Genomic DNA, 15954 nt, shown 5'->3' with positions numbered 1-15954 from the left:
AGTCTGGACCTCCTGAGAGTCAAGGCATACAGGATGCAGTCCAGGGTGGGAAGTATAGCAACGTATGCTCCATGGAGTGGCAAGTTGGGAGTAAGCTAGTAAAGACCCCCAGGGAGGTGCCAGCAGAGCTAGAGACATATTCTGTGGAGAGTATCTTACAGAGAATGTGACAGGGTATATGGGTCTGAGAGGGGGCTGGTTATGGTAGATTCAGACATTGTGATCATGGCTAGGACTAGAGAGATTCCTAGGGGAATACCCATACACTGAAAATTAAATGCACACTTCATTTCTATACAGGCAAAAGAATGTTATCCTCACATATGCAGGTGGCAAAGGAAGGAGCAACAAATTGTTCTCAGGCCATCTATACTCTGCTTACCCAAGAGATATACTATACCCCACCTCAGTCCAACTGTAAAATTTCAGGACAATGATTTTGTATCTAAGGTAGCCTTTAAAAAACACAAATATGTTTAAACTTTTCTTAAAATGTTTTTTTTTCTTTGAGAATGAGTGCTCACTATATTGCCCAGGCAGGTCTCGAACTCCTGGACTCAAGCTATCCTCTCACCTCTGCCTCCTTAAGAGCTGGGATTACAGGCATGAGTCACTGAGCCCAGCACTTTTCCTAAAACTTTTCTCAGACTTTATAGCAATATATTCTGCCCAATCACCAAGACCACATCCTGAGTGACTCCTAGGAACTGACTCTGTGGAAGGGACTTAAACCTTCTGGGTAGCCAGATAAAGCTATTCTCAGCAAGGAGAAATTTCCTAGAAACCAGCCACAAATATTTGTCAATTCTTCAGACTTTTCACAATACTTTGTATTCCTCATTCCTAAGTAACTGTTGTACCCTCTGCAATGGATATTATTGTTTTTATAATTTTTTAAATTTATTTGTTTTTCATTGTCATTTAGTAAAATATCTTGAGAGTCCCAAGTCTTGGGAAATCAAGGGAAGGGATTTTTGTCCACTCTTTGGCCAGAACATTGAAAGAGAATTGGTGTATCCCCCAGAGACCTATTATAGCAGGGTCAGCAGTTATTAAATAAGAAGATTCTAGAGGGAAATTGTGATGTGGGTCTGAATCAAAGCCTCTAGGTCAACCACCCACTCCCACTGCACAGCAAATCATGAGGTGCAGTGTTCTGTTTGAGTGTGGAAGTAGGCATCTCCTTTCACCTACCCAGTGCTGTAGCACTCACATTCCCAGGACATCTACCTCTGGCTTATGTTCTCAAAAGACAGTTCACCTCTTCATGTTGTTTCATTCACAAAATCTCCTCTTTGAGATGACTGGGATGTTGGCACCCACGCAGAATCAATAATGTCAAGCCAGCTCAAGAAGGGCTACTCCTGCTTTTTTGTTTGTAGGAGTTCCTTCCTCAGTGGGGTTCTAGTTTGACCCCAAGGGAGAGGGAGTCTACAGTTAGGATTTTATTAAGTTACTTTTCAGATCGAATCCAGTTGAGGGAGAAAGACTGGCACGTTGGAGGGATTTACTATTGAAACAGAGCTAAAGAGATGCTGTGGAATAACGAAAAGTAAACACAACCTGTAATCAGCTTAAGTGGAAATAAATGGCAAACTGTGGAAATGTGATACTTTATACACACTCCCTCCTCTGCTCCCAGGGGGTGGCTGTAGGTATTAAAAGAGACAAGGCAAGTAAAAGCTGCAAACTCTCTGCTCATAAGTAAGAAATAAATGATAATTTTGGGTCACCCCAAAGACAATGTCATTAGAGGATATTGTGTTTGAGGCCTTGAGAAGTGAGGGGAAATCTAAAATTAGAAATAATGTTTTAGTTTCTCAGAAGATCAGAAAAGCCATTTCTTAATACTAAAGAAGATAGAAAACTATTCATTACTACACAACAAAGGATTCAAGAGAACCGGCCAGGTGCGGTGGCTCAAGCCTGTAATCCCAGCACTTTGGGAGGCGGGCGGATCACGAGGTCAGGAGATCAAGACCATCCTGGCTAACACGGTGAAACCCCGTCTCTACTAAAAATACAAAAAAATTAGCCGGGCGTGGTGGCGGGCGCCTGTAGTCCCAGCTACTCGGGAGGCTGAGGCAGGAGAATGGCGTGAACCCGGGAGGCGGAGCTTGCAGTGAGCCGAGATCGTGCCACTGGACTCCAGCCTGGGTGACAGAGCGAGACTCCGTCTCAAAAAAAAAGAGAATTCAAGAGAACCAGGATTTCAGACACAAGAGCAATTTGATATTAAGAAGTTCTGGCAAATTAAACATGCTAGGACTTCTGAGCAGTCAGTAGCATTAAATAAGGTATGTTTCTTTCAAAACTTCAGCTCCAGCCTTTGCCTTCCCCCTTACTCCACTTTTGCCTCTATATATCAATATTTTACCTCTCCCACATGAGCATCTGAACCTGGACATGACCCCTGGTTTTTGGCTTGTTACTACTCACAATGTGCTGAGAGTGCACTATAGTCTTACCACACTGCAAGTAGAGACCGAACAGAAATTGGAATTCAGACTACAAGAATAGAAGAAAAAGGCATTTTTGAGGAAGAAATATAAAAGGGAACCTACTAAAAATTTAAATGACATATCAAAAGCCAATAGATGTATACTTTTCCCCTTCTAGGGAAAATTAGGAAAGGGTATATTTTTCTAGAGAAAAATGTGTGTGTGTATATATGTGTATATGTGTGCATGTGTGTGTGTATGTGTATGTATCTGTATGTGTTTGTGTGTGTATGTATCTCTGTGTGTGTGTGTAAATGTGACCTAGCAGAGTACCATGAGTCATCCCATATTCTAGGGGGGCCCAAGGTTTTATTTTTGTTTTTTTGTCTGTTTTGATATTGAGAAAGGCAGGCAATAGAATTTACAAAGAACCTAAGAAGATTAGTTGTTTTTGCAGGCTTTATAGACAGGTTTTGTAAAGGAACAGTTCTTGAGAGAAGAAATATGTATTTGGATTTAATATTTAAATGTATGATAGGCAGGGGAAGAGGAGTTCACTCCAAGAAGATTCAGGGCCCTTGTGTACACACATCTCCTGGTGACTTGTTCTGTTATTTCAGGTTAGTGGTCAGAACTGTAGCAGTTCCTTTGTAGGAGGAAATCCTACGAGGCTTGGATTTTTAACAATCCTGCTGTAAGATTTCCTAACCACCTACCCCAACACGTTTTCCAGAACTTATAGAAATTCTATTCAGCATCCAGATCTCAGGAGCAGCATTCCTGTGGTGTTGAAGAGGATTTCAAACTTAGTGCAAAAGACCTAAAAGAGTTTAAGGATTATGATAACCTGTGAACAAGATCAGGAATAGAAACAGTATGGCCCACAAAAACAAAGATACAAAGTCTTCCCCTTTCTGTGGAAGAAGTTCATATATAGGAAATGCTCCCTGAGGCAGGAGAGTTAAAATGTGTCTGAGCACAACTGCCATTGGAAAAGAATATCTTCTCTCATTATTATATTGGGCAATGTTATTTTTCCTGTGATTAGATATGCCTCTGACCCATTAGAATGACAAAGTGCAAACAGAGCCTCAGAGGGGTGTCCTCAGGTATAATTGTGAGAATTGCCTGGGAAACAGCCTCAGAGCACCCAGACAACAGATTTTCATTCATTCAGCAAGTATCTATTGGGTGCTTACCAGGTACTAGACTGTTCTAGATGCCTCAGATACATTTGTAAATAAAACAGACAAAAATCCCTGCATTCAGAGAGCTTCCATTCTATTGGAGAGAGACATAAAGTAAATAATAAACATATTAAATAAGTATATAATATTATATGAAATGATACAAAGTATGGGAGAAAAAAGAGCAGGGAAAGGGGATTAGAAGCAGAAGTGGATTGCAATTTTAAGTACGGTGAGAAGGTGACAGTTGAGCAAAGATTTGAAAGATGAAGGAACTGAGCTTGCGGCTATCTAGTGAAAGAACATTTCTGGCAGACAGAACAATCAGGAGAGGAACTGAAACTGCTTTATGCCTGGAATGTTCCAGGAGTTGTTTGGAGTGGAACTGAGGGAGGGAGCGAGAGGTAGGAAATGAGGTCAGAGAGGAAATGAGAGACCAGATCACACAAGACCTCATGAGATTGTTCACTTTGACACAAATGAAATGGGGAACTTTTGGGAGATTTTGAGCATAGGAATGATATGATCTGAAATGTTTTTGAAAGACCATTCTGATTGCTGTCTTGAGAAAAGATTGTAGCAGGGCAAGGGCAGAAGCAGTGAGACAAGTAGGACGCTGTTGCAGCAAGCCAGGCATGAAAAGATGGAGGCTAGTACTAGGGTAGTAGTATAGAGGTAGTAGGAAGTCTACATTCTATACATGTTTTAAGACAGAACAACCAGACACAGTGGCTCACACCTGTAATCCCAGCACTTTGGAAAGCCAAGGCGGGAGCATCACTTGAGCCCAGGAGTTTGAGACCAGCCTGGGCAATATAGCAAGACCTCATCTCTATAAAAAATCAAAAGAATTAGCCACCCATGGTAGGACTACGCCTGTAGTCCCAGCTACTCAGGAGGCTGAGGTCGGAGGATTGCTTGAGCCTGGGGTATCAAGCCTGCAGTGAGCTGTGATCGCACCCCTGCACTCCATCCTGAGTAACAGAGCAAGACTCTGTCTCAAAAAGAAAATGAAAATAAAAAAATAAAATGAAGATAAAACCACCAGAATTTCCTGATAAGACTAGATATGGGAAGGAGATGAGTCCAAGATTTTTAACCTAAATGTCTCAGTTGTTTATTGCACCATAAAAAACCACCCCAAAACTTAATGGCTTAAAACAACCAATTTCTTATTATCTCTTATGCTTCTTCTGTGGGTTGACTGGGCTCAGTTGGGCATTTTTGTTTGGGGTCTTTGATGCTACTGCAGTCAGTGGTAGAGTTTTATGCAGATTTGAATGCAGGAGATGACCTGGGAGAATAATGCTTCTTGTGTTGACTGGCATAAACATGGATAAAGGATATCATGAGATATTCAAGATGAGTAATGCCAGTGAAGCTATGAGTGTTGGCATGTAGAGGACAGTGGTAATCTGGGGCTCTCTCTTGATGCCTGTTAACAAAAGACTGGTTGTAAGTCCTGAGTTCATTCTGAGTGTGCTGACCCCAGCTGATGGAATTGAGGTTGCCTAGAGAAGCCACGCATTACTCCAAATATATGGCCTTTCTTGACCCGGATAAAGTGGGTTATGGTAGAAGTCCTGGGTAATCTAAGGTCTTGGTCCCAGGGAACAGGGACCAATCTTGACCTTTTTGGGGAATTAGTAATTTTATACATTGTCTTCCTCCAGACCTTTGCTGTCCAATATGATGGGAGTCATCAGCCACATATGGCTATTAAAAAATGTGGTTAAAAAATGTGGTTAGTCCAAACTGAAATGTGCTATAAGCATAAAATACACAGTGGCTTTTGAAAACAGTATGAAAAAATGAATATTAGATATCTCATTAATATTTTATACTAATTACATGTTAAATGATATTTTGAATATGTTGGTTATATAAAATATTAATAAAATTACTATCTTGGTTCTTTTTACTCTTTTTAATGTGGCTACTAGAAAATATTAAACTATATATGTGATTTATGTGGTATATGTATTGGACAGAGCTGCTCTTATACCCTTGATGGGGCTGAAGACATCTGGAAACTCATGTGTGAGATCCCTCCGAACCCTTCTTAGAAGCATTGCACTCCTTCCCCATATGGTCAGAGTTTCATCATTTCTCTTGAGAGTTAGAAATCCTAGAACCCTTAGGCTTCTGAGAGTTCCAAGCTTGAATGCCTTTGCCCCTGCCCCCAGGTTTTTTGTAGGTAGAGGTTTGCAAACAAAATTCCTTTATTTTGCTGTAACCTGGTAACTTTCACATGTACAAGGGGGTACTCAACACCCTCTTAAAATCTCTTCATCTCAACTTTCTTTGTAATCGATTTTTTATTATTTCATTAGCATAACCTCAATTGTTAGTTTAGTGTTACCAAAATCCCTCTTAACAGCTATAGTTATCCCTTACCATAATTGTTTCTAATATAGTTTGGCTCCTAGGGGTTCAAGTTAACATTACCTAAATAAGCATAGGAATGTTTATTCTCCCTGGATGCAAGAGTACTTAAGTGCTGCATCTTGTCTCAAAATTTTGAATTTTTGATAAATTTTATAATAGATTTATGCATTGCCAAAAAAAAAAGGAAAGACAGAGAAAAATGTGGAGGATGACATCTGATGACAGCTAATTCCAGCTGCTGACATCAGAATTTAAGGGCAGAAGGTTTATTTATAAATCACAGGAATAGAACATTGAAATCCAACCCCTTCATTTTACAAATAAGGAAACCACAGCTCAGAAAAGAATTGTGAGTTGACCCAAGGCAGACCTCTCCCATGCTACTCTACCTCATTGTCTCCATTCAGTTATCTGCACTGCCTACTCAAGACATATTTTATCATGTCCATGTATCTAATTGTCTCTGTTGTTAGTTTTTCCATAATTCAAGAGTAAGACCTTCAGAATGAAAGTTTCTCTAGGGCAGAAATTCTAATAGATTCATTACACTTATTTTTGCTGAATTGGGTAAATGGGCACAGGAAGACAAGAATACTATTTGTTGAGCATCCGACTTTATCATAATTACTGATTTTTCTATGTAATATCAGCTTATCTATCTAATATCAGCTTCTCTAAAGTGATTTTTGGGGGTAAATATTCCCCCAAAGTTTAGTTTTCTATATTGTTTCATTAGAAGATAGGATGAGAAAGTTCTTGCAGGCCAGAACTTCAAAGAGCACACAGAACCTTCATCAACTTATAAATAAGTCAACAATTTGTCCCTGAAGTTTAATACCATTGCATACAGTCAAGATGATATTTGCCTAGAAAATTGTCAAAGCAACTGGTACTAAAATGCTCACCATGGCTCATAGAACAATGTTTACGTTCCCATTGATTGACTGCTTTCTGAACAATATAGCTTGTGTTTAGTTCTCCACCCCTAGTATCAAAATCAAGCAGGTCAGCCAAATTGATATGGTTCTATGGGGTCATGGATGATGGATGGTTATTGGTATGTTGATAGCAAAAATATCCATGAAAAAAATTTAAAATAAATTTAAAAAATCATAGCTTTCTAAAAATATTTTTAAAATCTCTATAGCTGAAGGTGCATGAATTTTAAGTTCAAACAAAGAATTGTGTTCAGGAGAGAGTATCAGATGTCAAAGACAGATAATTTTTCCAAATACATTATCAAGAATACCTGAGAGTCGTGAACCCGGGAGGCGGAGCTTGCAGTGAGCCGAGATCGCGCCACTGCCCTCCAGCCTGGGCGACAGAGCGAGACTCCGTCTCAAAAAAAAAAAAGAAAAAGAGAGACCTGAGAGTTTGAGATTTGGATTACAGATCAGTGGAAGAGTGTCTAGGTAAATACCAAAGCAATACCAGTTGCTGTTTGCTGTTTGCTGATTATAGATTGACTTTCTATATTAACTGGGGACGTGAAGTAAATAGGCGTCCCCACATAAAGCACTTGGAGAAGAAATCACTTCCTGTTAAACCTGACAGGATAAATTTGTTGCTAAATATACCTCTAGAATATACCTCTAAAATATACCAATAGAAATATAAGAAATTCAATTTTACATTTTTAAAATTAATTTTAACAATATATTTTATTTAACCCAATGTATTAGTTTTCTAGAGCTGCCGTAACAAAGTACCAAAAACTAGGTGTCTTAAAAAACAGAAATTTATTGTCTTACAGTTCTGGAGGCCAAAAGTCCAAGATCAAGGTGTCAGTAGGGTGAAGGCACTAGGGAAAGATCTGTTCCAGGCCACTTTCCTAGGTTCTGGTAGTTCCTCAGCATATGGCAGCAGAGCTCCAACTTCTCATGGTGTTCTCCTTGTCTGTATGTCTGTCTTTCTATCCAAATTTCACTTTTTAAATTAGGACACAAGTCATATTAGATAGGGGCCCACTCTACTGCAATATGACCTAATCTTAACTAACTATGTAGAAAGCAGAAGTCTCATTTGTAAATAAGCTCACACTTGCAGGTACTAGGAGATAGAACATCAACATATGTACATTTTATTGTTTGTTGATTACATGTCAATAAAGCTGTTAAATGAAGCTAATTGTAAAAATATTTAATACAGAAAGACAAATGACATAAATCCCTACTCATCATATTATCATGTCATGAATTTCAGGGGGTTATGTGAAAAATACATACACATGATTTATTATCACCTATATGATTATACTTTGATACCATTTACTTTTCTAATGAACTACTTATATTAGTTATCTATGACTGCATAATAAGTTACTGTAAAACTTACCAATTTAAGCTAACAAATATTTATTATGTCACAGTTTCTGTGGGTTAGGAATCAGGAGTAGCTTAGCCTCATGGTTCTGGCACAGGGTCCTCATGAGGTTACAGTCAAGCTGTTAGCTGGGGCTGCCATTATTTGAAGTTTCAACTGAGGCTGGAGCATGCCATTCCAAGCTCATTCTGGTGGTTGCTCACTTAGGTAGCCTTAGCTCTTCCACATGTGGGCCTCTCCATCGGCTGCCTGTATGTCCTACAAAATGTCTACTGGCTTCTTCGAAGTACCTGTGTGTCCTCACAAAATGATGTTTGGCTTCTGTGAAAAGTGGATTATGAGAGAGACAGAGAAAGAGGGACAGGGAGCCTAAGATGAAGCCATAGGCTTTTACAACCTAATATTAGAAGAGATGTACCTACATTTTTGCCATATTCTATTTTTACAAAGACAAATTGTGATATGATGTGGGAGCGATCTGCAGGGGGTATGAATATAAGAAGGTGGGATAATTAGAGGCTGTTTTAGAGGTTGACTACCACAAAAGTATCACTGACATATGTACTTACCTACTCCTCCCTTATACTTTTAAACTGCCACATAGTGTCATGTAGCTCATATACAGGCTCTTAACTATAAATATGTGGCATATTTCCTAATTTTCTATATTAGAGATAATGAAGCAATGAAGATACAACTTTGCCAATGGGTGCAAATATTTGAGTAAGATAAATATCTAGAGTGGAATTGTTAGGGTTAAGAATAAACATTAAGATTTAGACGCATTCTTCCAAATTTTTATTCCAAAACTTTGTAGTGTTAGATTAGGTAGACAGCCGGAAATGAGCAGGCAAGGGAGCCCCCTGGAGAAAGAAGTCCTGGAGATGCTGCCCACTATAGTCAGTGCTGCCCACGGACAGTCACCAAAAAGACAATGGCTAAATTGGCTACATCTGGCCTTGTGGTTAGGCTCCTCCAGCCCTGAAGGGGACTTATCAGGCCCTAGCTAGAGATAACCATGCTAGGGATTTTCCCCACTGGCAAACGCAATCCTCCAAAAACTTGCCCTAGACTATACTTTTGCTCATTTTAACAGTAAAAACACACCCTTAGGTGGAGATTTTAAATGCTAATTAGGCCTGCAACATGTATACCAGCATGTACAACCACAGAGCATGCATGCCCAAAGGGACCTCCCAAAACATGCTTGCAAGTGACACCCCCTCAAGCCCTTTCATGAATAATTATGTAAGATTCTCATAGAGAGAGTCACCCAGCACTACCAGCTGCTGGCTTATTCTTTTGAGCAACCCACTCAGACTCATCTTTCAGAGTGTAATGTCTACTTAAATAGATACTACTACTACTATTTTTTCAGCCAGGCCAGCTTGGAGCTGTTTTCTACTCCTCTCTAGGCATGTACTTTGTCTTTCTTCAATAAACTCTGCTACTTAACCCTTGCTATACGTCTCTTGGCTGCATTCCTTCTTCCAAGTTAAGAAGAACCTAGGATTCCCATACAGTAACAGCAGTAACAGTACTATAATTTCACATTCAAAAAAAAACGATAATAGTGACCATTTTCTCAGACCTTCAGCAATGCTGCACTACCAAATATTTAAAATAATACCAAAGGCTAAAAAATATCACAAATTAGAAGTTTGCATAGATGGATGGACATGTGATAAAGGATATATAATAGGATGTTAAAGACAAAATCTAGATGAGTTCGCAAGTATTATTCGTTTCCCAGGATGGCTGCAACAAATTATCACAAACTGGGTGGCATAAAATGACAGAAATTTGTTCTATCACAGATCTGGAAATTAAAAGCGTGAAATCAAGATGTCAGCAGGACCATGCTCCCACTAAAGGCTTCCCATGCTTCCACTAGGGAAGAATCCTTCTTTGCCTCCTCCTACCTTCTGCTGACTCCCAGATATCCTTGACATTCCTTGGTCTTTGGCAACATGACTTGAGTCTCTGTCTACACCTTCAGACGGACTTCTTTTCAGTGTGTTTGTGTGTGTCCTCTCCTCATTTTAGACAGCATTTACCTTCACTTTATCCACAGGCTGTCCACCAAGCTGCAAATGATAAGACACACTGAATGCTTGCAGAAATATCTGATTAAAGACTAATACATCTTCAAAGACCCCAAAATGAGTATGTAAGATTTCTCATTTGCAGAAATACCTGATTAAAGACTAATACATCAACATCCCAAAAATGAGTAAGATTTCTCATTTCACTATAAATATATGTAAATTAAATGAAATTTTTGAAACATAAATGAGAGTACACAACCTCAATTTTTTATACACACAGCTCAGGATCTGGAACCAGTGAAACAGCCTGAGCACTTGATGGCATAAGTGTTATCCTCAGAAATCACAGACTCTGACACGTGGCAAAACCAGTAGACAAAGATGCCCTCAGCAGAGAGAAAAGTAACCTTTCAGTCACAAAGATTCCATTGACAGAAGGATTGCTGTGGCAAAGTCCTGGCCAATTCTCTATAAGTGTCTCTGTCTGCGTACATACATCCATTGTTAGTGTGTGTGTTGTTCTTGTTGTTCTTTGTGTGAAAAACAAATGTCAGCTAGAAGTCTATCCTGATGCCCATCCCCCCACCACACACACTCCTGGTCAGTTTGACTGTTCAGTTTTCCCCAAAGGATCCTCTCTCTCCACACTTCAACCTCCATTGCCAGGTTAGTCTAACTAGCCAGAACTCTCAAGATTCATTTTCACATCCAGAATACACAAGAAACTCAAACATATCAACAGTGAGCAAGCCCAGGAACACACACACACACACAGCTGACCACCACCACATACAAATACCATCTAAACCCATTAACAAGTGGGCAAAGAATACATAGGAATGGCCAACCAATACGTGTAAGAAGAAAATGCTCAACATCACCAATTATCAGGGAAATGCAAATTGAAACCACGATGAGCTGTCATCTTACCCCAATTAGGATGACTATCATTAAACAGAAGGAAAAATAACCAATCCTGGCAAGCAGATAGACAAAAGGGAAGACTTAGACACCATTGGTGGGAAGGTAAATAAGTACAGTCATCATGAAAAATAGCATGGAGATTTCTCAAAACAAAACAAACAAACCCCTGCCCACTCTGATAACTAAAGGTAGAGCTACCATTGAATCCGGCAATCCCACAGCTGGGTATTTATCCAAAACAAAGGAAATCCAGATATCAGAGGGATACCTGCACCCCTGTGTTTAATGCAGCACTATCCACAATTGCAGAACCATCAAATCAACCTAAGTGTCCATCAGTCAGGAAATGAAAAAAAAAAATGTGGCATATATACACCATGGAATACTATTTGGCCATACAAAATAACAAAATCCTTTCATTTGCAGCAACATGGATGGAACTGGAGGTCACAGTGTAACATCAAATGAGCCAGGCACAGAAAGAAAGGGCATGTTCTCACTCCTATATGGGAGCTCAAAAAGTTCACCTTGTTGAGGTAGAGAGTAGAATAATAGATACCAGAGGCTGGAGAGGGTGTATGGGTGACTGTGGTGAAGAGAGGTTTGTGGCAATTGCCTTGCTCAATTAATTTAAAACAAAAAGGAGATATTGGAGGCTGCACAAATATTTCTTATGATTAGGCATAATTGAAGCCTGTCAGTAACAATATGAACCTGTGACTGCTACAGTTATTACTTGAGACCATCACTACAGCAGTTACTACTGTTACTGCTTGAGACCAAAGGTACAGCAGTTACTACGGTTACCACTTGACCATCATTACAACTGAACAAAGGGACAAACACAGAAATGATAAAAAACAAAAGAAATGATCTTAAAGAAAGGGGAACTGGGGAAGAAGAAGAGAGCTCCCTGCTTCTAGTGAGCAAGGGCAGCCCCTGAGTTTCTACAGCCCGTCGTATTGATTGGGTAACAAGATAAGGAGGATGAGGTAATGATTTGTCGGCTGCTTAACTGATCACAGGTTCATGTTGTTACTGACAGGCTTCAATTATGCCTAATCATAAGAAACATTTGTGCGGCCTCCAATATCTCCTTTTTGTTTTTAAATTAATTGAGCAAGGCAATTGCAGGCTGTGTAACCCTTAATTGCCGGTTGGTGATCCAGCTTCATTTTTCTTAGCCCTTATTCAAAATAGAGTTGCTCTGGTTTGAATGCTTCTTACATATCTCCCCCTTCCCTTTTACTAGAGGACCCTTAATCCTAAGGGTTGCAGAAGGATGAAGGTCCATCTTCTGCAACTTCTTCATGCTGAATAGAGGTGATTATATTCCTGCCTATTAGGGTCTCTTGTTTTCAGGGTAGAGAGGAGCTCAGTCACAAAGCATTGGTCTGTTAAGCATCGATCGTACCTCTGAGTTCCAGCAAAAGGTGAAACCCTGGCACTCCAGCAGTTTCTCAGCTTCCTGTGTGGTTTTCCTGATCTGTCCCCATGTTATCGGGGTTGATGTCAGCATGACTCCGGTTGGTCCTCGTTTCATCTTCGCATTCAAATTCAAGTGGTTCATGGCTCATACTGGGGAACCAGGTCCATGGTTGGGATCCATGGGTCCTTCCAGTCTCCCATTCCATGGTCATACACACCTTGAGGGCACCCACATGGTTTGTTCATCTTCTGTAAGGACACAAGCATACCCTCATCCCCACGTTAGTAAATCTACTGAAACAAAGGCAAAGGCTCTTGTGGCTGTAGCCAGGAGGCATGCCGTTGCTGAGCATTTGTTCTACAAGCTGTAAAACTCAGCTTCTGCCTCTTTGGTTAATTACTGCAGGGTAAAACTTTCCACAGAAGAGACAGGATCTTTCTGATTAACAGAAGACACAGAAAAAGCAAATGAAGACTTCTCCTTCTCGTAAATAATCTTCAAGATCTATTACCACGAGAGACCAGTCTCTTGCTCCCGTATCCATAAGCCCACAAAACTTTTCTTCAATCTACACTGCACAAGTGGGTCTGTGAGATGCTATGCATTGTGATAGATAAATCTCTTAGGTGTGCTTCCAAATCCCTGACCTCCTCTTTCTTCTTGGGTAGAGAACGATACAATTTACAGGGAATAAGCAACAACTGAGCAATACACTCTCCCGTTTCAAAAACCCAAAGATCTTGTGACATTACCACTACCTGAATTTCTCCTTCACGATCAAAATCAACAACTCCTGGGCCTGTAAGACAGCTTTTACCAAAATCAATCCCATGTATCTTGTTGGCAAAGATCCCCAAATACCAATGGGAATCTTAGTGAGTTTGTTTCCTCTAGTTAACATAATTTGTTCTCTATCTAGGAGAGCTAATACTGTGTTTCCAGGTGTTCCCAGGGAGAGGGAACCAATGTGCCTCCGGAAACCCACCCTGAGATGAAGTTGTGGCCTGGACAGGGAATGCCTTCATAGTTTGAGGTACCTGGGTCCAGACCCCCTTCTCGTTTCCCAACAGGGGGATGCCACTTTGATGAAATTTTGAGTGGCATTGATTAGCCCAGTGATTTCCACTATTACAAGGAGGGCAAAGTCCTGGTGTTTTTTCTGTTAAGATGGGAACTATAAGATCCCTTTTTCCCAGAGGTCTGGCAGCCTTCTTTTTTGAAGTGTCCAATTTTTCTATACTTATAACACTTTCCCACTTTAGGGTTTGACCCTTGGCTTCTTTTAGATCTGTCAGTTACCAAAGTAGCCATTTCCTGAGTCAATACTGCAGAGCAATGAAGCTCAGTTCCCACCTCTTGACAAGCTCGGAGAAAACCTCCCAAGTCCTCTGCACACCTCACAGGTGCCAGCACACGTTTACAATCCACGAAAGCCAAAGCTAAAGTTAGCCTTTCTGTAGCCATAAAAGATGGTACAAGCCAATTTTCATTCTCCCTCTCCTGTTCACTACTTTCTATAGGTGCTATAGGTGGGGCAAAACAATTATCTTAAACCCTGAAATAATGACAAGAAGATGGTATGTACCAAACTCCAAACAAAAAAGAGAAAAGAAATAACCAAATTCTTCCTCATGTTACCCTGATTAAAAAAATTCCCATTCTTTGTACCTCTAGGGCACTGACCAGTACCTTTTTAGAGCAATGACCTTATGTTGCTGCCGGCAGACTTGTAACGGGATTTCTCATTTATCTGGTTGGTTTTAGTTTTTTCTGTTCTTTAATTTTTTCTGTTCCAGCAGACCTTCCTCATTCAAGTCCCTATAGGACCCTATCTGTCCCTATCTGTCCCTGAAAATCTCTGCTAGTCTTTGCTAGTCTCTACTTTTGTACCTCTTTGGGGCACTGACCTTATATTCCAAGTCTTTGCTGGTCTTTATCTATCCCTATCTGTCCCTGTCTGTCCCTACCTATCTCTACTTACTTATCTCTACTTACTTAACTCTACTAGAGTGTGTTTCCAAAGAGCTAGAAGACAGCACTTGAGATGTTCCCAACAGGTAGAGATGACAGATACCCACAGGATGGATGTCCTATATCCCCTCACTGGATCACTACACAATCTACACGTTACAGCATATCACAGGAATCTCATTAATATCATGTCCAGATGAAGAAAAACATTATGATGCTAAAAGAGTTGTTTTCACATCTCCTCCTCCCCAGCACCATAGCACATGGTCTCAGCTTCTCAAGTTCTGCTGCCATCCCTGCCAAAGCTGCTGACACATGTGGAGCCCAATCATGAACCCTGGGCTCAGGGTCTGGTATGCCTTGGAAAAGAGCTTGCTGGCGTGAGTGGCTCTTGCAAGTGGCCCAACCATTAGGCACAGATCTCTCCCAGCTGAGAGAGAAGCCGCCTATCAGCCACCAGGCTTGGCTTTGTGGAAGCAGTGCTGCTGGAGAGACCTGGCCCATTCAGTGGCCAGATGCAAGTGACAGTGTGTGGTGCTGATGGTAGTGGTCATGATGGTGGTGGTTGTGGTGGGTCCACTGGTGGCCACGATGATACAGGAGGCAGAAAGAAATTATTTAGGCAGATAGTGAAGGTAAAAGAGTCCTCAGCAGAGCTTTCCTTTTAAGAGAAATCAGCCCAAGAAATTATTTTTTCCTAACAAAGAGCAGCCTAAAACATTGAGCTGCAAACATACATAAGCAAGCTGGAAGCTTGCACAGGGGAATGCCAGCAGCTGTGCCAATAGAAAAGGGCTACCCGGGGGCCAGGCATATCCAACATTCAGGCTCCATCTTCCTTTATGTTTTTTTTTGTTACCACATGTACAGTAAAGGAACAGGCGACATGGCCCAGCTCAGGAAGAAGACCCACTTGCATAATAAAAGATTAGAGTGGGAGCGGCCAGAAATTTGCATCCTAGGCAATGGCACACCTAGTCCTAACCAGTTTTTTGCACCCTATGCAAATGGTAGACCTAGTCCAACCAATCTTTAATGCCCCATGTAAATCAAACACTGCCTCCTCACCAGGTATCTATAAAACCCCCTGCATTTCACTGCAGATCTGGAAACTGATTTCTCTGGGACCCCTCTCTCCAGCAGACAGGTATTCTTTTTCTTTCACCCATTAAACTTCTGCTCTTAACCTCATTCTCTGTGTGTTCACGTCCTTGATTTCCTTGACTGTGAGACAACGGACCTTG

General features: G+C 40.7%; 1 long non-coding RNA gene across 1 annotated transcript, besides 3 other annotated features; it reads right to left on the bottom strand.

Annotated features, from left to right (window-relative positions):
* Positions 553–874: a transcriptional cis regulatory region, noted in NCBI's record as "candidate enhancer chr1.9514 targeted for multiplex CRISPR interference". NCBI's record gives its function as "positively regulates FCGR2A gene expression with high confidence in K562 cells {active_cell/tissue: K562}" and the evidence as "EXISTENCE:mutant phenotype evidence [ECO:0000015][PMID:30612741]".
* On the bottom strand, positions 7737–14462 carry LOC105371473 (uncharacterized). The gene is made up of 3 exons (XR_922214.3): positions 12725–14462; positions 10261–10425; positions 7737–8659 (listed from the first exon to the last, which is right to left on the bottom strand). It is a non-coding gene; the product is annotated as an uncharacterized LOC105371473 (long non-coding RNA).
* Positions 9461–9600: an enhancer, noted in NCBI's record as "active region_1992". NCBI's record gives its function as "activates an Ori minimal core promoter by ATAC-STARR-seq in GM12878 lymphoblastoid cells {active_cell/tissue: GM12878}" and the evidence as "EXISTENCE:reporter gene assay evidence [ECO:0000049][PMID:35858748]".
* Positions 12631–12860: a silencer, noted in NCBI's record as "fragment chr1:161460810-161461039 (GRCh37/hg19 assembly coordinates)". NCBI's record gives its function as "represses an EF-1alpha promoter that drives an FKBP-Casp9 reporter gene in an ReSE screen in HepG2 liver carcinoma cells {active_cell/tissue: HepG2}" and the evidence as "EXISTENCE:reporter gene assay evidence [ECO:0000049][PMID:32094911]".
* Positions 14463–15954: the final 1492 nt, after the last annotated feature.

Source organism: Homo sapiens, chromosome 1 (genome assembly GCF_000001405.40).
Source record: "Homo sapiens chromosome 1, GRCh38.p14 Primary Assembly".
Taxonomy (NCBI): domain Eukaryota; kingdom Metazoa; phylum Chordata; class Mammalia; order Primates; family Hominidae; genus Homo; species Homo sapiens.
Note: the sequence above shows the minus strand (reverse complement) of the source record. Positions and strands in the feature narration are given on the sequence as shown.